A 20,996-nucleotide genomic window follows, 5' to 3' on the forward strand; every position below is an offset into this window, starting at 1 on the left:
TGGCAGATCTTGAACTTCTGACCTCTGGTGATCCACCCACCTTGGCCTCCCAAAGTGCTGGAATTACAGGCATGAGCCACCATGCCTGGCCTTTTTTTTTTTTTTTTTTTGAGATAGGGTCTTACTCTGTCACCCAGGCTGGAGTGCAGTGGCACGATCAGGGCTCACTGTAGCTTTGCCCTCCCAGGCTCAAGTGATCCTCCCACCTCAGTCCCCCGAGTAGCTGGAACTACAGGTGTGCACCATCACGCCCAGCTAATTTTTGTATTTTTAGTAGAGACAGGGTTTCATTATGTTGCCAAGACTAGTCTCAAGCTCCTGGACTCGTGATCCTCCTGCCTCAGCCTCCCAAAGTGCTGGGATTACAGGCATGAGCCATCGTACCTGGCCCTGAATCTCTTAAAGCCATGATTTCTTCATGTGATACAGGAATAACAATGGCACCTGCCTCGTGGGGTTGGTGTGCTTAGTACCTGGCACACAGTGAGCACTCAGTCAGGGTTAGTACCAAATCAGACCTTGGCTGTCTCCATTTGATGGTGAGTTCTTGCAGGGAAGGTCTTTCCCTTTATCATAACCTAAGTGCCCAGCACATGACCTAAGCACTTGATGAATAAATGAGTGATGAATGAATGAATGAAATCCCCAAAGCAGAATCACACTGTGACTAATTTTGTGACACACTTACCATTCTCATTTGACTGACATCCTTTGAAGACACCCCTTTGACATCATTTCCTTCTTGTCTACTCCTCTCCCTTAGAAAACTCTCCTGCATATATGTATTGCTTTATAAATTATCTTTCACAGGTACCTTATTATAACTTGCTTTCTGTTTTTTATTCTTTCAAAGCGATGCTCTTATCCTCAAGACCACTGGAAAATAAAAAGAAATAAAAAAATTCTCAGGAATTTATGGCAGATTTTGTTAGTATTTCTTACTGCTTAAAATATACATTTGACTAGAAAGCAGGAAAAACATTTGCTCTTTCAGGATTTATGTATAAAATTCTCTTGGGTCTCTAACATGGCATTCAATATACATCCTCAACTCTTCCCCTTCCAAACTTGAGTTAGGCTTAGGTTTTCATGTAGCTTCATCGTGTAGCTTCATGACACCCAAATTTAAGATGGGCCATTACTGAGTTGGTTTAAAATATACATGATAACTTTCAAAGAGTGAAAATTAACCCATTGTCTCTTTTGTATTTGACCTAGAAGATTACTATAACATACTATCTCATAAAGGGGAATAATTTGAGGCCAACTTTCCTAACTAATATTGTGATTATAAAGGGAAGACCCTGAAGCTTTTCTATTTCCGGAAGAAAAACCTCTTAAATTCTACTTTTCAGACATGATCAAACCAGGCTCTAATGCCACATTGGCAGCTTTAGAATCATAGAAAGAGCTGAAAGAGACCATAGTGTCACCCAGTCCAACCCCTTCATTTTGGAGAGACACCGTGTAGCTTAACTAGGATCACAGAGCTATTTAGCGGCAGAGTGGGGCCTAGAATCCAGATCTCCTTAATCATTGTTCGGCGATTTTTCCAATTCACCCAATGCCTTTTCTCCTACAGTCAAGATTTAGAGGTTTTATTGACACATATTCAGATATTGTTATTCTTAATTTAAAAAATTTAAAGATTGATGTGTGAAGATTGATATCATTGAGAAAATTCTATAGGCAGTGCTGGGGGTTGTGTTACATTTCTCAAATTAAAATAAAAAAAATGAGGGACCAAACTAGATGTGTTTGGGATCATATTTGGCATGAGGATCAGCATTCGGTGACCCAATTCTTTATTTAGTTATGGAGACAAGTCTAGGGCATATATGAAACAGGTGAACAATATACAGCTGTTTTGTTAAGTGATACAGTACATGGTACAGAGAAAATGTTTATTGAGCAGTGCAGGAGGAAGAAAAGGTTAAATCTAGGTCCTGAAGAATGAGTATGGCTTTGTGTGCATTTGGAGAAGCAGGGCATTCCACTAAGAGCCAGCAGCAGCTGTTAAGTAGTGAAGGGACAATGGGCAGGGTGGAGCATGTCTTGCGTGTTCATGGGTGCCTGGCGAGGAAGCCAGTCTGACTGGAAAATAAGCCCAGCTGGTAGGGTGCTGTAAGATTATGCAGGACCTTAGAAGTGTGATAAAAGAGGTCAGACTTAGAGACCACAGGGAGCTGCACCTTGCATTTTGAGCTACAGCGTATCTTAACAGAGGCCTGTTTGATACTGTCACTTGGACAGTGTTTGGCAGTATGGGTTTGAAGGGTCTGGAAAACTACTTATGAGGCCCATGGGTATCTAGGCAGGAGATGGTAAAATGAGAGAGATAAGTACAGATAGAAAAGAAGAAGAAACTATGAATATATTTCAAAGGGAAAATCACTAGGGTAATTGTTTAGATTTGGTAGATTGAGAGAAGAAACTATTCAAAGTCCTAGGCTTTTTGCCTGGCTGACCAAGCTCAAAGAAGTTTGTGTCCTGAACTCCATTCCCTGCAAAGATTAGAGTTTGAGCTGATTGCTCTACTAGAACCTATTCCTGGTTGGCAATCTTCCTGTCCTCATGTTTCAGATTACAGAGCCCTTGTCTTAAAGGCATGCCTTATTTCCCTCAAGGAAAAACTATTTGTAAGGAAGTTAGTTGGTTACTTGCACCTACTGTCTGATTATTGACTTTGCCACTTAGTTATCTTGTTGTTAAATACACAGAAAAAGATCCCTGGAGCCCATTAGTCTCCACAGGTGGAAACGTATTTAATCTTTGGGAGAAAACCAAATTACTTACCTAGAATGTTTGTTCTCTGACTAATAATGTAGTCATGTTGATCCACCCCTTATGCCCAGTGAATTTCCAAAGATTTGGCATTGAGAGAGTGGCATTAGAAATTGTTTAACTCATATATATGACTAAGGGAGCCAGTAATACTCACTAGGAGACTGATGAAATTTAAGAAGATTCTAGGGCACAAAGGACTGCAAATCTTTTACAGTAGGGTGACCTTTTTTTTTTTTTCCTTTCTGGTCCAAGGGACATTTGATTCCATTACTGCCATATCTCCTTCTCCTGATATAGGCTGAAAATAAGATACACTTAGAAGAGAGCTGTGCTGCGAGTCTTTCTAATGCCAGCAAACATTTATGTAGTGAAATATTTAATACTTTCAGTGATCTTATGAGGTAGATAGAATTATCATTCCCATTTTACTGATAAAGATATGGAGAAAAGTTGAGAGAGGTGAAGTGAGCTGGGTGTTGAACGCTAGCTGTTTGACTTTAAATCATGACTTTTCCTCACTCTACTGTGAAGAGCTTGGGCAAGAAGTCAGGCTCAGCAAACCTGCCAACTTGTTTACATGTTTTATTTTTAAATTACGTGACATTGGTTCTCTACGGTTTGGACTTGTGTATTACAACAAGCAATACAGAGGCTTGCATATTACTCTCCATTGGCTGTTAGCTCTTGTGAAGTAATTAGGCTACAAAAGTCTTCCTTATAGTTATTTAAATCATCCAGCAAACCCAAATTCTTGTTTTGCTTCTTACAATGGCCTGCTTGCCTTGAAAAAAATGAGTATTCCATTTCTCTTACTATATTTAGCTGCCTGGAATGGTAACTTCTTCTTGCTTTTTGGGACTTTGGCTCAGAGCCAAGGTCATTGTGCAAGAAAAGGGTGAAATGGTTGGATTTAGGCTGTATCTTGTGTCAGTCATTTTTGCAAATGCAGCATTTTGACCAAAATGCAGCCACATGGCTCTAGGAAATGCTGGTTTGCAAACACACTTGGTGTGGTTTGCTGTTTTGTTTTTTCTCCCCCAATTAAGGTTTCTTGATCAGCTTGTCTTTAGAACACTTGTAAAAGTGTTCTAAGGTAGAATTCTGGCCAGGTGTAGTGGCTCACCTATAATCCCAGCACTTTAGGAGGCCCAGGTGAGAGGATCGCTGGAGGCCAGCCTGGGTGACATAGAGACACCCCTGTTTCTATAAGAAAAAAAAAACAATTAGCCAGGTGCCTGTATTCCCAGCTACTTGGGAGGCTGAGGCAAGAGGATCATTTGCACTCAAGAGTTCCAGGCTGCAGTGAGCTATTATTGTGCCATTGCACTCCAGCCTGGGCAACAGAGACTCTGTTTCAAAAAAAAAAAAAAAAAAAAAAAAAAAAAAAGACCTATTATATGAAAGGGTGATACATTCTCTACTTTAACCTGTGGCAAATCATCAACAATACTCCTCATTTTAAGTTTGAAGAAGATATGCTAGGCACCAAAAAGAAATTGCATCTGAATATGATAGAATCATCACATTCCTTGACCAGAAGAGACCTTGGTTCTTTCTTCCTTGTCCCTATCTTCTTGACAAAGACCCACTGAAAACATCTTCAGAAAAGACATAACATTAAAAAAAAATCCTTAAAGAGAGCCCAACTTTTCCTTATTATTAATTCTAGTGTTTAGCAACTTAGATTGTATTTAAATAACAGAAAAAAGCAGTTGTTGACAAGGTTGATCCAACTCTGTAACCATATTCCTCTTTGTTTTGGCCAAAATATAGCCAGTTTAATTGATTTTGTAGACATCAGCTATTCAGATGGAAGAAGATACCAGAATGGGTTATGTGGTACTCAGGCCACAGTGAAAGACCTAACCTCATTATCAGTAACTTCATCCTTTACCTAATCTCAATCATGGAAGGTGTGATTCAAGTAAACTTCCTCTGAAGCTGCCCTAAAAGGAGGTAGAAATAGCTTTTTGCCATTTACTGTGCAGGGAACCTCCATGTATACTGGAAGATAAGGACAAGAAACTTTGGATCTTTAGAATAAATCATCAGAGGCTCCTTTGCTGCTCAAGTCATTCAAATGACCTAAAGTTGTTCATTAAATGAAATAATGCTTGTAAACAATTGAGGACAAAGCCCTACAGTCCTAAGGGCTTAGTAAAAGTTAACTGTTATTCTTATTTAGAGAGACTGGTCCCAGAGCTTTAACATCAGCCCTCCACTGTCTCAATCCCTGCCACACAGAAAAGGACAAAGGAAGGTGATAGAACAAGACCCAGGGAAAGGGAGGGGAACAAAGCCATTGGCCTAACCATTCCTGCTGAACAACTGTCATTACTTTAGGGAAGAGGAATTCTTAGTCACTACCCAAACCTCTCTGTGTGATAGCTGCAATCTTGTTTCCATTTTATTTAGCCATTTAGTAAGCTATTTCCTATATATCCACAGTTGACTGCATCATTCTCAAATCCTCTTGTTTGAAGGCCCAGTTTAAGACCCTTTCCATTACCGTCTGCAGCAGAAGTGTCTGACTCCAGATGGCCTCTACCATCTGAATGAAGGGCTAGTTTTGGTTGGGTCCAGCAGATCCCTAAAGTACTTGATCACATGAAATGAAGTGACAACCCCACACTAGTGATCTAAACAGGGCAGTGGCATTGTCTCTGTCAGAGCTGGTGAAAGATGCTACTCTTGGAAAAAATTCTTGCCAATAGACTCCTGTTGGCAGTCTTTTGCATTTATTCATGCATATGAGTCATAAAGATCATCGAAATTCTCCAGGGTCCTTTTAAAAAAATATAATTTCCTTTGCACTGCCACCTGATATTTTGATTAAGTTTGACGTAGGACCCAGGAATATGTCTTAAAAGCTTTGTAGGTGATTCTAGGAGACTTTGATCTAAATAATTGAGCCTTTCCAAAGAAATGATTTCCAAAGAAATGATTTATCCTAAGTGAATGGGGAAGCTCTTTGAGCTTTCATAGTTTGCTCACTATGAGCTTTGGAGCTTTGGAGGGCTCTGATTTAGTTATAATATTAGCCTTTTTGAATTAGTTGTGTCTGCTGTGGAGTTCATGAGCCACACCCAGTTCTTAATTGGGATTTCAAGGTAGGATGAGCTCAAAGTCTTTTTTTTTTTTTTTTAACTTTTACTTTAAGTTCAGAGGTACAAGTGCAGGTTTGTTATATAGGTAAACTTGTGCCATGGGGTTTGTTGTACAGATTATTTCATCACCCAGGTATTAAACCTAGTTCCCATTAGTTATTTTTCCTGATTCTTTCCCTCCTCCCCACTCTGAAGGCCACAGTGTGTTGTTCCCCTCTATATGTCCATGTATCCTCATCATTTAGCTCCTACTTACAAGTGACAACATGTGGTATTTGGTTTTCTGTTCCTGTGTTAGTTTGCTAAGGGTAATGGCCTCCAGCTCCATCCATGTCCCTGCACAGGGCATCATCTCATTCTTTTTTATGGCTGCATAGTATTCCATGGTGTATATGTACCACATTTTGTTTATCTAGTCTATCATTGATGGGCATTTAGGTTGATTCCATGTTTTTGCTCTTGCAAATAGTGTTGCAATGAACATATGCATGCATGCATCTTTATAATAGAATGATTTATATTCCTCTGGGTATATACTCAGTAATGGGATTGCTGGGCCAAATGGTATTTCTGTCTTTAGTCTTTAAGGAATCACCACACTGTCTTCCATAATGGTTGAACTAATTTACACTCCCACCAACAGTGAGTAAGTATTCATTTTTCTCTACAACCTTACCATCATCTGTTATTTTTTGACTTTTTAACAATAGCCATTCTGACTGGTGTGAGATGGTATCTCCTTGTGGTTTTGATTTGCATTTCTCTAATGATCAGTAATTTGAGCTTTTTCATGTAATTGTTGGGCACATGTATGTCTTCTTTAGAGAAGTGTCTGTTCATGTCCTTTGCCCACTTTTTAATGGGGTTTGTTTTTTCTTGTAAATTTGTTTAAGTTCCTTATAGATGCTAGATATTAGACCTTTGTCAGATGCATAGTTTGCAAATATTTTCTCCCATTCTGTAGGTTGTCTTTTTACTCTGTTGATAGTTTCTTTTGTGCAGAAGCTCTTTAATTTAATTGGATCCCATTTGTCTATTTTTGTTTTTGTTGCAATTGCTTTTAGTGTCTTTTATCATGAAATCTTTGCCCGTGCCTATGTCCTGAATGGTATTGCCAAGGTTGTCTTCTGGGATTTTCATAGTTTTTGGTTTTACATTGAAGTCTTTAATCCATCTTGAGTTAATTTTTGTATGTGGTGTAAGGAAGGGGTCCAGTTTCAATCTTCTGCATATGGCTAGTCAGTTTTCCCAGCGCTATTTATTGGATAGGGAATCCTTTCACCATTGCTTGTTTCTGTCAAGTTTGTCAAAGATCAGATGGTTGTAGGTGTGTGGTCTTATTTCTGGGTTCTCTATTCTGCTCCACTGGTCTAGGTAACTGTTTTTGTACCAGTACCATGCTTTTTTGGTTACTGTAGCCCTGTAGTATAGTTTGAAGTTGGGTAGTGTGATGCCTCCAGCTTTGTTCCTTTTGCTTAGGATTGCCTTGGCTATTCCAGTTCTTTTTTGGTTCCATATGAATTTTTAAGTGTTTTTGATATTTCTGTGAAGAATGGTCAATTGTAGTTTAATAGGAATAGTGTTGGATCTATAAATTGCTTTGGGCAGTATGGCCATTTTCACGATATTGATTTTTCCTATCCATGAGCATGGAATGTTTTGGCATTTGCTTCTTTCATCTCTGATTTGTTTGAGCAGTGGTTTGTAGTTCTCCTTGTAGAGATCTTTCACCTCCCTAGTGAGCTGTATTCCTAGGTATTTTATTCTTTTTGTGGCAATTGTGAATGAGACTTAGTTCCTGATTTGGCTCTTGGCCGGACTGTTGTTGGTGTATAGGAGTGCTAGTGATTTTTGGACATTAATTTTGTATCCTGAGACTTTTCTGAAGTTATTTATCAGTTTAAGAAGCTTTTGGGCTGAAACAATGGGGTTTTCTAGATACAGGATTATGTTGTCTGCAAACAAGGAGAGTTTGACTTCCTCTCTTCCTGTTTGGATGCCCTTTAATTTCTTTCTCTTGCCTGACTCCTCTGGCCAGGACTTCCAATATTATGTTGAATAAGAGTGGTGAGAGAGGGCATCTTTGTCTTGTGTTGATTTTCAAGGGGAATGCTTCCAACTTTTGCCTATTCAGTATGATATTGGCTGTGGGTTTGTCATATATGGATCTTATTATTTTGAGGTATATTCCTTCAGTACCTAGTTTATTGAGAGTTTTTAACATGAATGGATGCTGAACTTTATCAAAAGGTTTTTCTGCATCTATTAAGATAATTGTGTAGTTTTTGTCTTTAGTTCTGTTTATATGATGAATCACGTTTATTGATTTGCATGCATTGAAACAAACTTGCATCCCAAGGATGAAGCCTACTTGATCATGGTTGATAAGCTTTTTGATGTGCTGCTAGATTTGGTTTACCAGTATTTTGTTGAGGATTTTTGCATTGATGTTCATCAAGGATATTCGCCTGAAGTTTTCTTTTTTTGTTATATCTCTGCCAGGTTTTGGTATCAGGATGATAATGCTGGCCTCATAGAATGAGTTAGAAAGGAGTCCCTCCTCCTCAATTTTTTGGAATAGTTTCAGTAGGAATGGTACCAACTCTTCTATGTATATCTGGTAGAATTCAGCTGTGACCCCTTCTGGTCCTGGCCTGTTTTGGGTTGGTAGGCTATTTATGACTGCCTTAATTTCAGAATTCGTTATTGATCTGTTCAGGGATTCAGTTTCTTCCTTGTTCAGTGTTGGGATGGTGCTCAGGCTCTTCTTAAGTTATCTTCAGTTTCTGAGCCCTGGGCTAGTGGAATGTGTGAGGGCTAGCAATGCCTGATTAGCTGATCTTCCCAGGTACCCTGCTGCAGGTTTAGCCTCTTTCTTGCCACAGTACTGCACAGGCCTGGAAGTATGTCAGTGGCCTTAGTCTTATTTTCCCGCATCTGGCTTGAGTCCTACCACACACAGGTTGTATTTGGTGTATTAGATGTGAGTGCTGTGTGACTCTGTTGGAGCCTCTCCTTCCTTCCCCTGACATGCTAGCTTCTGCCTCAGTTTACCAGCATAATGTTCCAGTTTTTCACTGGATCTGTGGTCTGTCTTGAGCCTTAGCCCACAACTTTTAGCCCACTGACTTACTGCCTGGTTCTTGCCCCTTCTTGCCTATGGCCTGCTCTCTGGACTCTCTACCACTGACTGTTCCTATAGCACATGGAGTGGAGTATACTGTGTTGCCAGCAGCCAGCTCTGGATTTAAACTGCCTAGGTTGGAAGCTGGCTTGTGCACTCTCTACCTGGGTGGGCTTGGGCAAGTGACATAACCACACCATAATTTCTTCATCTTATCTTCTTCATTTTTCTTACCTTAGTTTCTTCATCTGTAAGGCAAAGAAGTATAGTAATCCCTCAGTATCTGTTGGGGGTTGGTTCCAGGATCCCCCTTAGATACCAAAGTCTGAGGATGCTCAAGTCTTTTATATAAAATTATGAGGTATTTGCATATAGCCTACACATATCTTACATACTTATTAATCTCTAAATTGCTATGTAAATAATTGTTATACTATATATATTATGTACAACATATATGAAATATAAATAAATAAATATGTGTGTGTGTGTATATATATATGTATTTTAAGAGACAGGGTCTCAATGTTGCCCAGACTAGAATGCAGTGATGTGATCATAACTCACTGTAATTTCAAACTCCTGGGCTCAAGCAGTTCTTCTGCCTCAGCCATTGGGACCATAGGCACACATCACACCTGGCTAATTTTTAAAATTTTTGTAGAGACAGAGTCTTGCTTTGTTGCCCAGGATGGTCTTAAACTCCTGGCCTCAAGTGATCCTTCTGCCTTGGCCAAAGTGCTAGGATTACAGGCATCAGCCACTGTGCCTGGCCATTTGTTTTATTTGTATTTTGTTTACTGTATTTATGTATTTATTTTTGAATATTTTCTAGGTTGGTTGAATCTGAGTATGAGGAACCCCTGGATATGGAAGGCTGACTATAATAGTATTTACCTTACAGAATTGTAAGAATTAAATGAGACAACACATGTGAGATATGTAGAAAGTGCTCAATAAGTATAAGCCTCTCTCACTGTAAATATTACTGGCTTCCCATCAGTCATGAAACCATTGCCTGCTTGCTTACAAATTTTACGTATGTTACCTGCCACATAGAGGAGTTCACCACATTCTTTGGACATCATCCATTGTGCTTCTCAGCACAACAGTTCCCAGCTGCCTGTCTTCCCGATTCTCCCACCACCTGTACTATTGTTGTAGGACTTTTTCTTGATCCCTTTGTCAGACTTGTGACAGAAGTGCCTCATTTATTTGACCCACCGCACAGACAAATGGCCAGGCATGGTGGCTCATGCCTGTAATCCTAGCGCTTTGGCCAAGGTGGAAACATCACTTGAGGCCAGGAGTTCAAGACCAGCCTGAGCAACCAAGCGAGACTCCATCTTTACAAAAAATTTTAACATCTTGTGGGAAGGAGTGTGTAAGCGAGTGAATGTGGGATCTGTCCAGCTGCTTTGGGCACCAGCAGGAGCAGGCTTCATGCCATCCCTGCAGCCAGACCAGGTGTGAGCGAATGAGTGCAGGATATGGCTGGCTGCTTTGGGCACTGGCAGGAGCAGGCTTTGTGTGAGCCCTGTGGCACCCAGGTTGGGGTGCCTACAACCCTGGAAGCCTGAGGGGGTGTGTTGTAATGCTCTCTTAGCTCTGCTGTCTGTGGACAGTGGTGTGTTATCAGCTCACTGGATCCCTTCCCTTGTTGTGTGGGGTGGCTGCCCTCCTCCAGGGAGGGCAAAGGGCCAGTGTGACAGCCTTTTTTGGGTGCTCATACTTGGTGGGTCCTGAGCTCTTGTCTGGCATCCAAGAAGAATGAAGTCACTTGGAGGATGGTGGAGGCAGAGAATTTTATTTAGCGATGGAGTGACTTTCAGTGTAGAAGGGAGCAGGAGAGGGGACAGGACGGGCAGATAATCTTCCCTGAAGTCTGTCTGGCTCTGGCTGGCTCTTCTCCGAAGTTAAGCCCTCTCTCCTCCAAAGTCCAGCCGTCCCTCTGAAGTCAAGTCACCTCCAGTCGAGCCAGTTCTCTCCCCTACTAACTGAGTCTGGGGTCTTTATAGGCACAGGATGGGGGGCAATACTTGTTTGGTAAAAAGACAATATTCAGAAATAACCAATCAGGAGAGAGCAGGCAAATAGGGATAGAAATTCTCACTTTGGGCCGTGGGTTTCAGGAATTTTGGCTCGAAGGTGGAGTTTTGCCAGGGACCCGCCCCTGCCTGCCTAGCATTTCTCTGCCTCCGGCCTCTATCACTGTTATCAGCTATTTTGTGATGAACCTCTTGCCTAACCAGCATTGTTTATGACTATTTGTTCTCTCTAGTTTTCTTGGGGTTTTTTTTTTTTTTGACTAAATTGTCTAAGTTCCTTCAACTTCATAGGCTTATTTTCCATTCATTCAACATCTTATTGCCTCCAGTTTAAACCTTTTCCTAATCCTTTTCTCATTTAGTTGCTTAAGAAAATGAATAAGATCTCAAGAAACTGCCAATCTATTATGGGAGGCTTAATGAGAGGCTGCTCTTTTTGCAGTGGTGGAGATAAGAAAATAACTATGGGACAAGAAGAGAAAGAGTATTGCTATTAATTAGTACCTATTAATATTTTGTTCCATGCACTGATCTAAGGGTTTAGGAGAATATCAGTAAATAAAATGGATAAAGATTCATGTCATAGAAATTCTGTCAAAGGTGGATACAAAATCAATAGTTGTTTTTTAATAAAAAATATTTTTATTAAAATTTGGAGGGCAGAAATATTTTCAGATATGTTAATGATTAAACATATTATCAAGGATGGGAATTATAACTCTTTTTTAAATTATTATACTTTAAGTTTTAGGGTACATGTGCACAATGTGCAGGTTAGTTACATATGTATACATGTGCCATGCTGGTGTGCTGCACCCATTAACTCGTCATCTAGCATTAGGTATATCTCCCAATGCTATCCCTCCCCCCTCCCCCCACCCCACAACAGTCCCCAGAGTGTGATGTTCCCCTTCCTGTGTCCATGTGTTCTCATTGTTCAATTCCCACCTATGAGTGAGAATATGTGGTGTTTGGTTTTTTTGTTCTTGCGATAGTTTACTGAGAATGATGATTTCCAATTTCATCCATGTCCCTACAAAGGACATGAACTCATCATTTTTTATGGCTGCATAGTATTCCATGGTGTATATGTGCCACATTTTCTTAATCCAGTCTATCATTGTTGGACATTTGGGTTGTTTCCAAGTCTTTGCTATTGTGAATAATGCCACAATAAACATACGTGTGCATGTGTCTTTATAGCAGCATGATTTATAGTCCTTTGGGTATATACCCAGTAATGGGATGGCTGGGTCAAATGGTATTTCTAGTTCTTGATCCCTGAGGAATCACCACACTGACTTCCACAATGGTTGAACTAGTTTACAGTCCCACCAACAGTGTAAAAGTGTTCCTATTTCTCCACATCCTCTCCAGCACCTGTTGTTTCCTGACTTTTTAATGATTGCCATTCTAACTGGTGTGAGATGGTATCTCATTGTGGTTTTGATTTGCATTTCTCTGATGGCCAGTGATGGTGAGCATTTTTTCATGGTGTGAAAATTTCACTGATGGCCAGTGATGGTGTGTTTTTTGGCTGCATAAATGTCTTCTTTTGAGAAGTGTCTGTTCATGTCCTTCGCCCACTTTTTGATGGGGTTGTTTGTTTTTTTCTTGTAAATTTGTTTGAGTTCATTGTAGATTCTGGATATTAACCCTTTGTCAGATGAGTAGGTTGCGAAAATTTTCGCCCATTTTGTAGGTTGCCTGTTCACTCTGATGGTAGTTTCTTTTGCGGTGCAGAAGCTCTTTAGTTTAATTACATCCCATTTGTCAATTTTGGCTTTTGTTGCCATTGCTTTTGGTGTTTTAGACATGAAGTCCTTCCCCATGCCTATGTCCTGAATGGTAATGCCTAGGTTTTCTTCTAGGGTTTTTATGGTTTTAGGTCTAACGTTTAAGTATTTAATCCATCTTGAATTGACTTTTGTATAAGGTGTAAGGAAGGGATCCAGTTTCAGCTTTCTACATATGGCTAGCCAGTTTTCCCAGCACCATTTATTAAATAGGGAATCCTTTCCCCATTGCTTGTTTTTCTCAGGTTTGTCAAAGATCAGATAGTTGCAGATATGCGGCGTTATTTCTGAGGGCTCTGTTCTGTTCCTTTGATCTATATCTCTGTTTTGGTACCAGTACCATGCTGTTTTGGTTACTGTAGCCTTGTAGTATAGTTTGAAGTCAGGTAGTGTGATGCCTCCAGCTTTGTTCTTTTGGTTTAGGATTGACTTGGCGATGCGGGCTCTTTTTTGGTTCCATATGAACTTTAAAGTAGTTTTTTCCAATTCTGTGAAGAAAGTCATTGGTAGCTTGATGGGGATGGCATTGAATCTGTAAATTACCTTGGGCAGTATGGCCATTTTCACGATATTGATTCTTCCTACCCATGAGCATGGAATGTTCTTCCATTTGTTTGTATCCTCTTTTATTTCCTTGAGCAGTGGTTTGTAGTTCTCCTTGAAGAGGTCCTTCACATCCCTTGTAAGTTGGATTCCTAGGTATTTTATTCTCTTTGAAGCAATTGTGAATGGGAGTTCACTCATGATTTGGCTCTCTGTTTGTCTGTTATTGGTGTATAAGAATGCTTGTGATTTTTGTACATTGATTTTGTATCCTGAGACTTTGCTGAAGTTGCTTATCAGCTTAAGGAGATTTTGGGCTGAGACAATGGGGTTTTCTAGATATACAATCATGTCGTCTGCAAACAGGGACAATTTGACTTCCTCTTTTCCTAATTGAATACCCTTTATTTCCTTCTCCTGCCTGATTGCCCTGACCAGAGCTTCCAACACTATGTTGAATAGGAGTGGTGAGAGAGGTCATCCCTGTCTTTTGCCAGTTTTCAAAGGGAATGCATCCAGTTTTTGTCCATTCAGTATGATATTGGCTGTGGGTTTGTCATAGATAGCTCTTATTATTTTGAAATGTGTCCCATCAATACCTAATTTATTGAGAGTTTTTAGCATGAAGGTTGTTCAATTTTGTCAAAGGCCTTTTCTGCATCTATTGAGATAATCATGCGGTTTTTGTCTTTGGTTCTGTTTATATGCTGGATTACATTTATTGATTTGCGTATATTGAACCAGCCTTGCATCCCAGGGATGAAGCCCACTTGATCATGGTGGATAAGCTTTTTGATGTGCTGCTGGATTCGGTTTGGCAGTATTTTATTGAGGATTTTTGCATCAATGTTCATCAAGGATATTGGTGTAAAATTCTCTTTTTTGATTGTGTCTCTGCCCGACTTTGGTATCAGGATGATGCTGGCCTCATAAAATGAGTTAGGGAGGATTCCCTCTTTTTGTATTGATTGGAATAGTTTCAGAAGGAATGGTACCAGTTCCTCCTTGTACCTCTGGTAGAATTCAGCTGTGAATCCATCTGGTACTGGACTCTTCTTGGTTGGTAAGCTATTGATTATTGCCGTAATTTCAGATCCTGTTATTGATCTATTCAGAGATTCAACTTCTTCCTGGTTTAGTCTTGGGAGAGTGTATGTGTCCAGGAATTTATCCATTTCTTCTAGATTTTGTAGTTTATTTGCGTAGAGGTGTTTGTAGCATTCTCTGATGGTAGTTTGTATTTCTGTGGGATCGGTGGTGATATCCCCTTTATCATTTTGTATTGTGTCTTTTGATTCTTCTCTCTTTTTTTCTTTATTAGTCTTGCTAGCGGCCTATCAATTTTGTTGATCCTTTCAAAAAACTAGCTCCTGGATTCATTAATTTTTTGTGTCTCTATTTCCTTCAGTTCTGCTCTGATTTTAGTTATTTCTTGCCTTCTGCTAGCTTTTGAATGTATTTGCTCTTGCTTTTCTAGTTCTTTTAATCGTGATGTTAGGGTGTCAATTTTGGATCTTTCCTGCTTTCTCTTGTGGGCATTTAGTGCTATAAATTTCCCTCTACACACTGCTTTGAATGCGTCCCAGAGATTCTGGTATGTTGTGTTTTTGTTCTTGTTGGTTTCAAAGAACATCTTTATTTCTGCCTTCATTTCATTATGTACCCAGTAGTCATTCAGGAGCAGGTTGTTCAGTTTCCATGTAGTTGAGCGGTTTTGAGTGAGATTCTTAATCCTGAGTTCTAGTTTGATTGCACTGTGGTCTGAGAGATAGTTTGTTATAATTTCTGTTCTTTTACATTTGCTGAGGAGAGCTTTACTTCCAACTATGTGGTCAATTTTGGAATAGGTGTGGTCTGGTGCTGAAAAAAATGTATATTCTATTGATTTGGGGTGGAGAGTTCTGTAGATGTCTATTAGGTCCACTTGGTGCAGAGCTGAGTTCAATTTCTGGGTATCCTTGTTGACTTTCTGTCTCGTTGATCTGTCTAATGTTGACAGTGGGGTGTTAAAGTCTCCCATTATTAATGTGTGGGAGTCTAAGTCTCTTTGTAGGTCACTCAGGACTTGCTTTATGAATCTGGGTGCTCCTGTATTGGGTGCATATATATTTAGGATAGTTAGCTCCTCTTGTTGAATTGATCCCTTTACCATTATGTAATGGCCTTCTTTGTCTCTTTTGATCTTTGTTGGTTTAAAGTCTGTTTTATCAGAGACTAGGATTGCAACCCCTGCCTTTTTTTGTTTTCCATTTGCTTGGTAGATCTTCCTCCATCCTTTTATTTTGAGCCTATGTGTGTCTCTGCACGTGAGATGGGTTTCCTGAATACAGCACACTGATGGGTCTTGACTCTTTATCCAATTTGCCAGTCTGTGTTTTTTAATTGGAGCATTTTGTCCATTTACATTTAAAGTTAATATTGTTATGTGTGAATTTAATCCTGTCATTATGATGTTAGCTGGTTATTTTGCTCATTAGTTGATGCAGTTTCTTCCTAGTCTCGATGGTCTTTACATTTTGGCATGATTTTGCAGCGGCTGGTGCCAGTTGTTCCTTTCCATGTTTAGCACTTCCTTCAGGAGCTCTTTTAGGGCGGGCCTGGTGGTGACAAAATCTCTCAGCATTTGCTTGTCTGTAAAGTATTTTATTTCTCCTTCACTTATGAAGCTTAGTTTGGCTGGATATGAAATTCTGGGTTGAAAATTCTTTTCTTTAAGAATGTTGAATACTGGCCCCCACTCTCTTCTGGCTTGTAGAGTTTCTGCCGAGAGATCCGCTGTTAGTCTGATGGGCTTCCCTTTGTGGGTAACCTGACCTTTCTCTCTGGCTGCCCTTAACATTTTTTCCTTCATTTCAACTTTGGTGAATCTGACAATTATGTGTCTTGGAGTTGCTCTTCTCAAGGAGTATCTTTGTGGCGTTCTCTGTATTTCCTGAATCTGAATGTTGGTCTGCCTTGTTAGATTGGGGAAGTTCTCCTGGATAATATCCTGCAGAGTGTTTTCCAACTTGTTTCCATTCTCCCTGTCACTTTCAGGTACACCAATCAGACGTAGATTTGGTCTTTTCACATAGTCCCATATTTCTTGGAGGCTTTGTTCATTTCTTTTTATTCTTTTTTCTCTAAACTTCCCTTCTCACTTCATTTCATTCATTTCATCTTCCATTGCTGATACCCTTTCTTCCAGTTGATCGCATCGGCTCCTGAGGCTTCTGCATTCTTCACGTAGTTCTCGAGCCTTGGTTTTCAGCTCCATCAGCTCCTTTAAGCACTTCTCTGTATTGGTTATTCTAGTTATACATTCTTCTAAATTTTTTTCAAAGTTTTCAACTTCTTTGCCTTTGGTTTGAATGTCCTCCCGTAGCTTGGAGTAATTTGATCATCTGAAGCCTTCTTCTCTCAGCTCGTCAAAGTCATTCTCTGTCCAGCTTTTTTCCATTGCTGGTGAGGAACTGCGTTCCTTTGGAGGAGGAGAGGCCCTCTGCTTTTTAGAGTTTCCAGTTTTTCTGCTCTGTTTTTTCCCCATCTTTGTGGTTTTATCTACTTTTGGTCTTTAATGATGGTGATGTACAGATGGGTTTTTGGTGTGGATGTCCTTTCTGTTTGTTAGTTTTCCTTCTAACAGACAGGACCCTCAGCTGCAAGTCTGTTGGAGTACCCGGCCGTGTGAGGTGTCAGTCTGCCCCTGCTGGGGGGTGCCTCCCAGTTAGGCTGCTCGGGGATCAGGGGTCAGGGACCCACTTGAGGAGGCAGTGTGCCTGTTCTCAGATCTCCAGCTGCATTCTGGGAGAACCACTGCTCTCTTCAAAGCTGTCAGACAGGGACATTTAAGTCTGCAGAGGTTACTGCTGTCTTTTTGTTTGTCTGTGCCCTGCCCCCAGAGGTGGAGCCTACAGAGGCAGGCAGGCCTCCTTGAGCTGTGGTGGGCTCCACCCAGTTGGAGCTTGCCGGCTGCTTTGTTTACCTAAGCAAGCCTGGGCAATGGCAGGCGCCCCTCCCCCAGCCTTGCTGCCACCTTGCAGTTGGATCTCAGACTCCTGTGCTAGCAATCAGCGAGACTCCGTGGGCATAGGACCCTCCAAGCCATGTGCGGGATATAATCTCCTGGTGCACCGTTTTTTAAGCCCATCGGAAAAGCGCAGTATTTGGGTGGGAGTGACCCGATTTTCCAGGTGCCGTCTGTCACCCCTTTCTTTGACTAGGAAAGGGAACTCCCTGACCCCTTGCGCTTTCTGAGTGAGGCAATGCCTCGCCCTGCTTCGGCTTGCGCACGGTGCGTGCACCCACTGACCTGCGCCCACTGTCTGGCACTCCCTATTGAGATGAACCCGGTACCTCAGATGGAAATGCAGAAATCACCCGTCTTCTGTGTCGCTCACACTGGGAGCTGTAGACCAGAGCTGTTCCTATTTGGCCATCTTGGCTCCTCCCAACATGCTTTCTATCAGAATTATAACATTTTTAAACATGCTTGGCAAAAACACAGATGTTATTAGTGATATTTGCATTAGGAAATAATTATAATAAAGAATAAATGTAATCAGTTTTACCTTGATATAAATTTTACATTTTCCAAAACCAAATTGTGTAATGAAAGCCATTACAATTTTTTCTTTGTAATCTGGAATCTTACTAGAAAATGTTGATGAGGCTTTGAGACTCGAAGATAAATTGTTTGTTGTGGAATTTACAAATGCTTTTTGGCAGTGATCAGTTGTCCTCTAAGAGTGTTTGGCAATCTTTTGGATTCAAAATGTTGGATCTTCACTTGCTAATATTTCTGAGCAGGAGTGGGGGTGATGTTCCCATCTGTGAAGAGTCAAGAGAGGTGGGAAGGAAGTGTTCTGGCTTGAAGATTGTATCTTCTGCACACCTGTGTGGCAAAGTTGTCTGGTGGGTGGAGGATTTATTTGATGAGGGGGCAGCAAATTGAAAGAGGATGCAGAAGCGGTAGAGTAGTTTTCCCTGGGCTTTAAAAATACAAATTATTTGGGGAAGATACCACATCTTAATTCTTTATAAACTAACGTCTTAATATCATAGGAAAGAAACCACATAAAACTGTGTTTCAAAATGGTTCTATTTTAGTATATTTAAAGTACATGTAAAAATGATAAAAAAAAAAGAAAAAAAATAAAGCACCGCTTTTAGAAGAAATCGAGTGGAAATTTAGAAATTCGGAGTGAATGCAAGAAACTGTTATTGAAAATCCAGTCTGTGTCTAGCACTTTGCCAAGGCCCCTAGAATAAAAAAGTTGACTAAGATACATCTCCAGTTCCCAAAAACTCTCCATACATTAGAGAATGGGGTGACATACAACACCAAATAAATACTGTTCAAGATTGCAGATGGTTTATCAGGATAGATTTCCACAAATTACAGTGGGGGTGGCTGGTTCTGGGAAGTTTTATCATCAGGTTTTTTCTCTTGTTTTATTTACCCGTGTGCTTTTCTTGATCTTACAGTTTAATTGTATGTGTGGCTTTTTGTTCAAGTTATCTCAATTTCTTCTGAGAAGAAATATAGTTTCAAAATCAATCAATAAAGATAATCCTCTGATAAAGTAAGATCTGAATATACAAATCATGGTTACAGTAATCTTACCATTATATATAAATTACCTCTCAAACAAATGGGCCATTCAGAAAAAGGCTCAGAGTGAATTAGCTGGAGGGGTTGTCAAGGGTCATAGTTTTTACTGCTTTGAAGAGATTATCACTGGATGATTTCCTCACATTTATATAACTTCAGTCTCCTGTTCTTTTTACTCTGGCTGAGGTACAAGGAATCAGGAAAGAGAGGGCAACTGTGAGGAAGGAGCATTCTCCAGGTGGGAAGGTTAGTAAAATTAACCATACAATTACAGAATGGGGAAAATGAGGCCTGCCTAGGTGATTAGGGAAGGAGATGGTTACAAACTTGGAGATGTCTAATCTCAGTAAGCAGGTCAAAGAGGTCAGCTTTCACTTAGCAGCTCCAGAGCACAATCAGATGAGTATAGCTAAATGTTTTCAATTCTAAAAAATCAAGTCAGGGAGAAATTTTGTTTGGGCCTAATGGGAAACAGTTTCTCTGCTCACAACATTTCTGACACCAAGTATATGGATTTTCTAGACCAAGAAATTCTCGAGTTCTCTTCAGAGACCAACTGGGGATCAACAATTCAATTTAATTCTGACACCCAAGGTGAGTGCAGACCCTACAGGTTAAGGGTTCAGTCCCACAAGACTGCTCCCCACTTCTGATGCCAATCACAAGTAGTGAGTCCCCAGGTTACCTATACTTCTGACCTGGCTACGTGGACCCCTCCTCAAGTCTGATAATTTGCTATAACCACTCACAGAACTCAGAGGAACACTTCGTATTACTGGTTTATTATAAAGGATATTCTAAAGGATACAAATGAACAGTATGACAGTCAGATGAATAGGTTCATAGGACAAAGTCCAGCCAATGGTCCTAGGTACAGGAACTTCTGTATCCGTGGAATTTTGGATGCATCACCTTCCTGGCAAGTGGACACATTCACCAACCTGGACACTTTCCCAATACCTTTGCTTAGGGGTTTTATGAAGGCTCTATTATGTAGGCATGATTGATTAAATCATTGGCCTTTGGTGATTAGCTCAATCTCCAGCTCCTCTTCCCTCCCCAGATGGGGCTGAAGGTTTCAATCCTCTAAACACACAGTTGGTTCCTCTGGTAACCAGCCTCCATCCTTCAAGACTCACCTCATTAGCATAAACTCAGGTGTGGTTGGAAGTGGCTTATTATGAACAATGAAAGATGCTGCTTTCACTTCTATTACTCAGGAAGTTGCTAGTGTTTTAGAAGCTTTGTGCCAGGAACTGGGGACAAAGACCAAATATTTATTTATTATTATATCACAACATCACAGTACCTAAGAAGCAAAGCTACATTCAGCAAGTACTGATGGGAGTCAAGGTTATATGTTGGAGGGCACCAATTTATTTGTATGGATTTGCTTTATTTATTTATTTTTGTAAGTAAATAAATTTGTCTTGCTATGTTTCCCAGGTTGGTCTCAAACTCCTGACCTCAAGCAGTCCTTCCACTTTGGCCTCCCAAAATGCTGGGGTTACAAGCATGAGCCACTGTACCCAGCTGTGCATTTTTTTAAACTTTATTTTATGTAGTTTTAAAACTATATATATTTTATATAGTTTTTTATAATTAGAAATGTTAATGAGTAGTTTTCTATTTATATTATTAGTTTAATAAAAGCTTCTTTTATACAATAAGAAAAATGGACTCAATTATTAATATATTCTCAGTTATTAATAATTATATTCTAAATTACCAATTCTCAATTATTAATATTCAATCAATAATAATATGTTAATATATTCTCAATTATTAATATTCTGAGAGGTGTGTCTGGGGAAAGCCAGTGGGAATATATTACCTAATTCAGGACTCCATTTTGTCCCCTAGCAGCTATACAAATTGCAGGCATAGTGATCCTGCCTGGGAAGTAATAACCAGCCTTGTAAACTGGAACCTACTGAGTGAAAGTAAACATCAAATCATGGCAAAGATTGGTTGGCAATTACTGTAAATAAAAAATGG

At 40.1% G+C, this 20,996-nt stretch overlaps 1 protein-coding gene and 1 long non-coding RNA gene across 14 annotated transcripts in view; both read left to right on the forward strand.

Moving 5' to 3' along the window:
- Positions 1–20,996, forward strand: part of CAST (calpastatin) — an 813,255-nt gene that overhangs the window by 129,985 nt on the left and 662,274 nt on the right. For 10 of the 13 annotated variants that reach the window (NR_186779.1, NR_186780.1, NM_001423254.1 and 7 more), the window contains one exon: positions 19,521–19,592. The exons of the other annotated variants lie outside the window; for them this stretch is intronic. The gene's annotated coding sequence lies outside the window, so the exon portion shown is untranslated. The remainder of the gene's footprint in view (positions 1–19,520; positions 19,593–20,996) is intronic. 13 annotated transcript variants of the gene reach the window in all.
- The window catches only part of LOC101929710 (uncharacterized), a 669,085-nt gene that overhangs the window by 129,413 nt on the left and 518,676 nt on the right, over positions 1–20,996 (forward strand). The gene's annotated exons all lie outside the window — the stretch shown is intronic.

The sequence above is a fragment of the Homo sapiens genome, chromosome 5 (genome assembly GCF_000001405.40).
Source record: "Homo sapiens chromosome 5, GRCh38.p14 Primary Assembly".
In the NCBI taxonomy this organism is placed as follows: domain Eukaryota; kingdom Metazoa; phylum Chordata; class Mammalia; order Primates; family Hominidae; genus Homo; species Homo sapiens.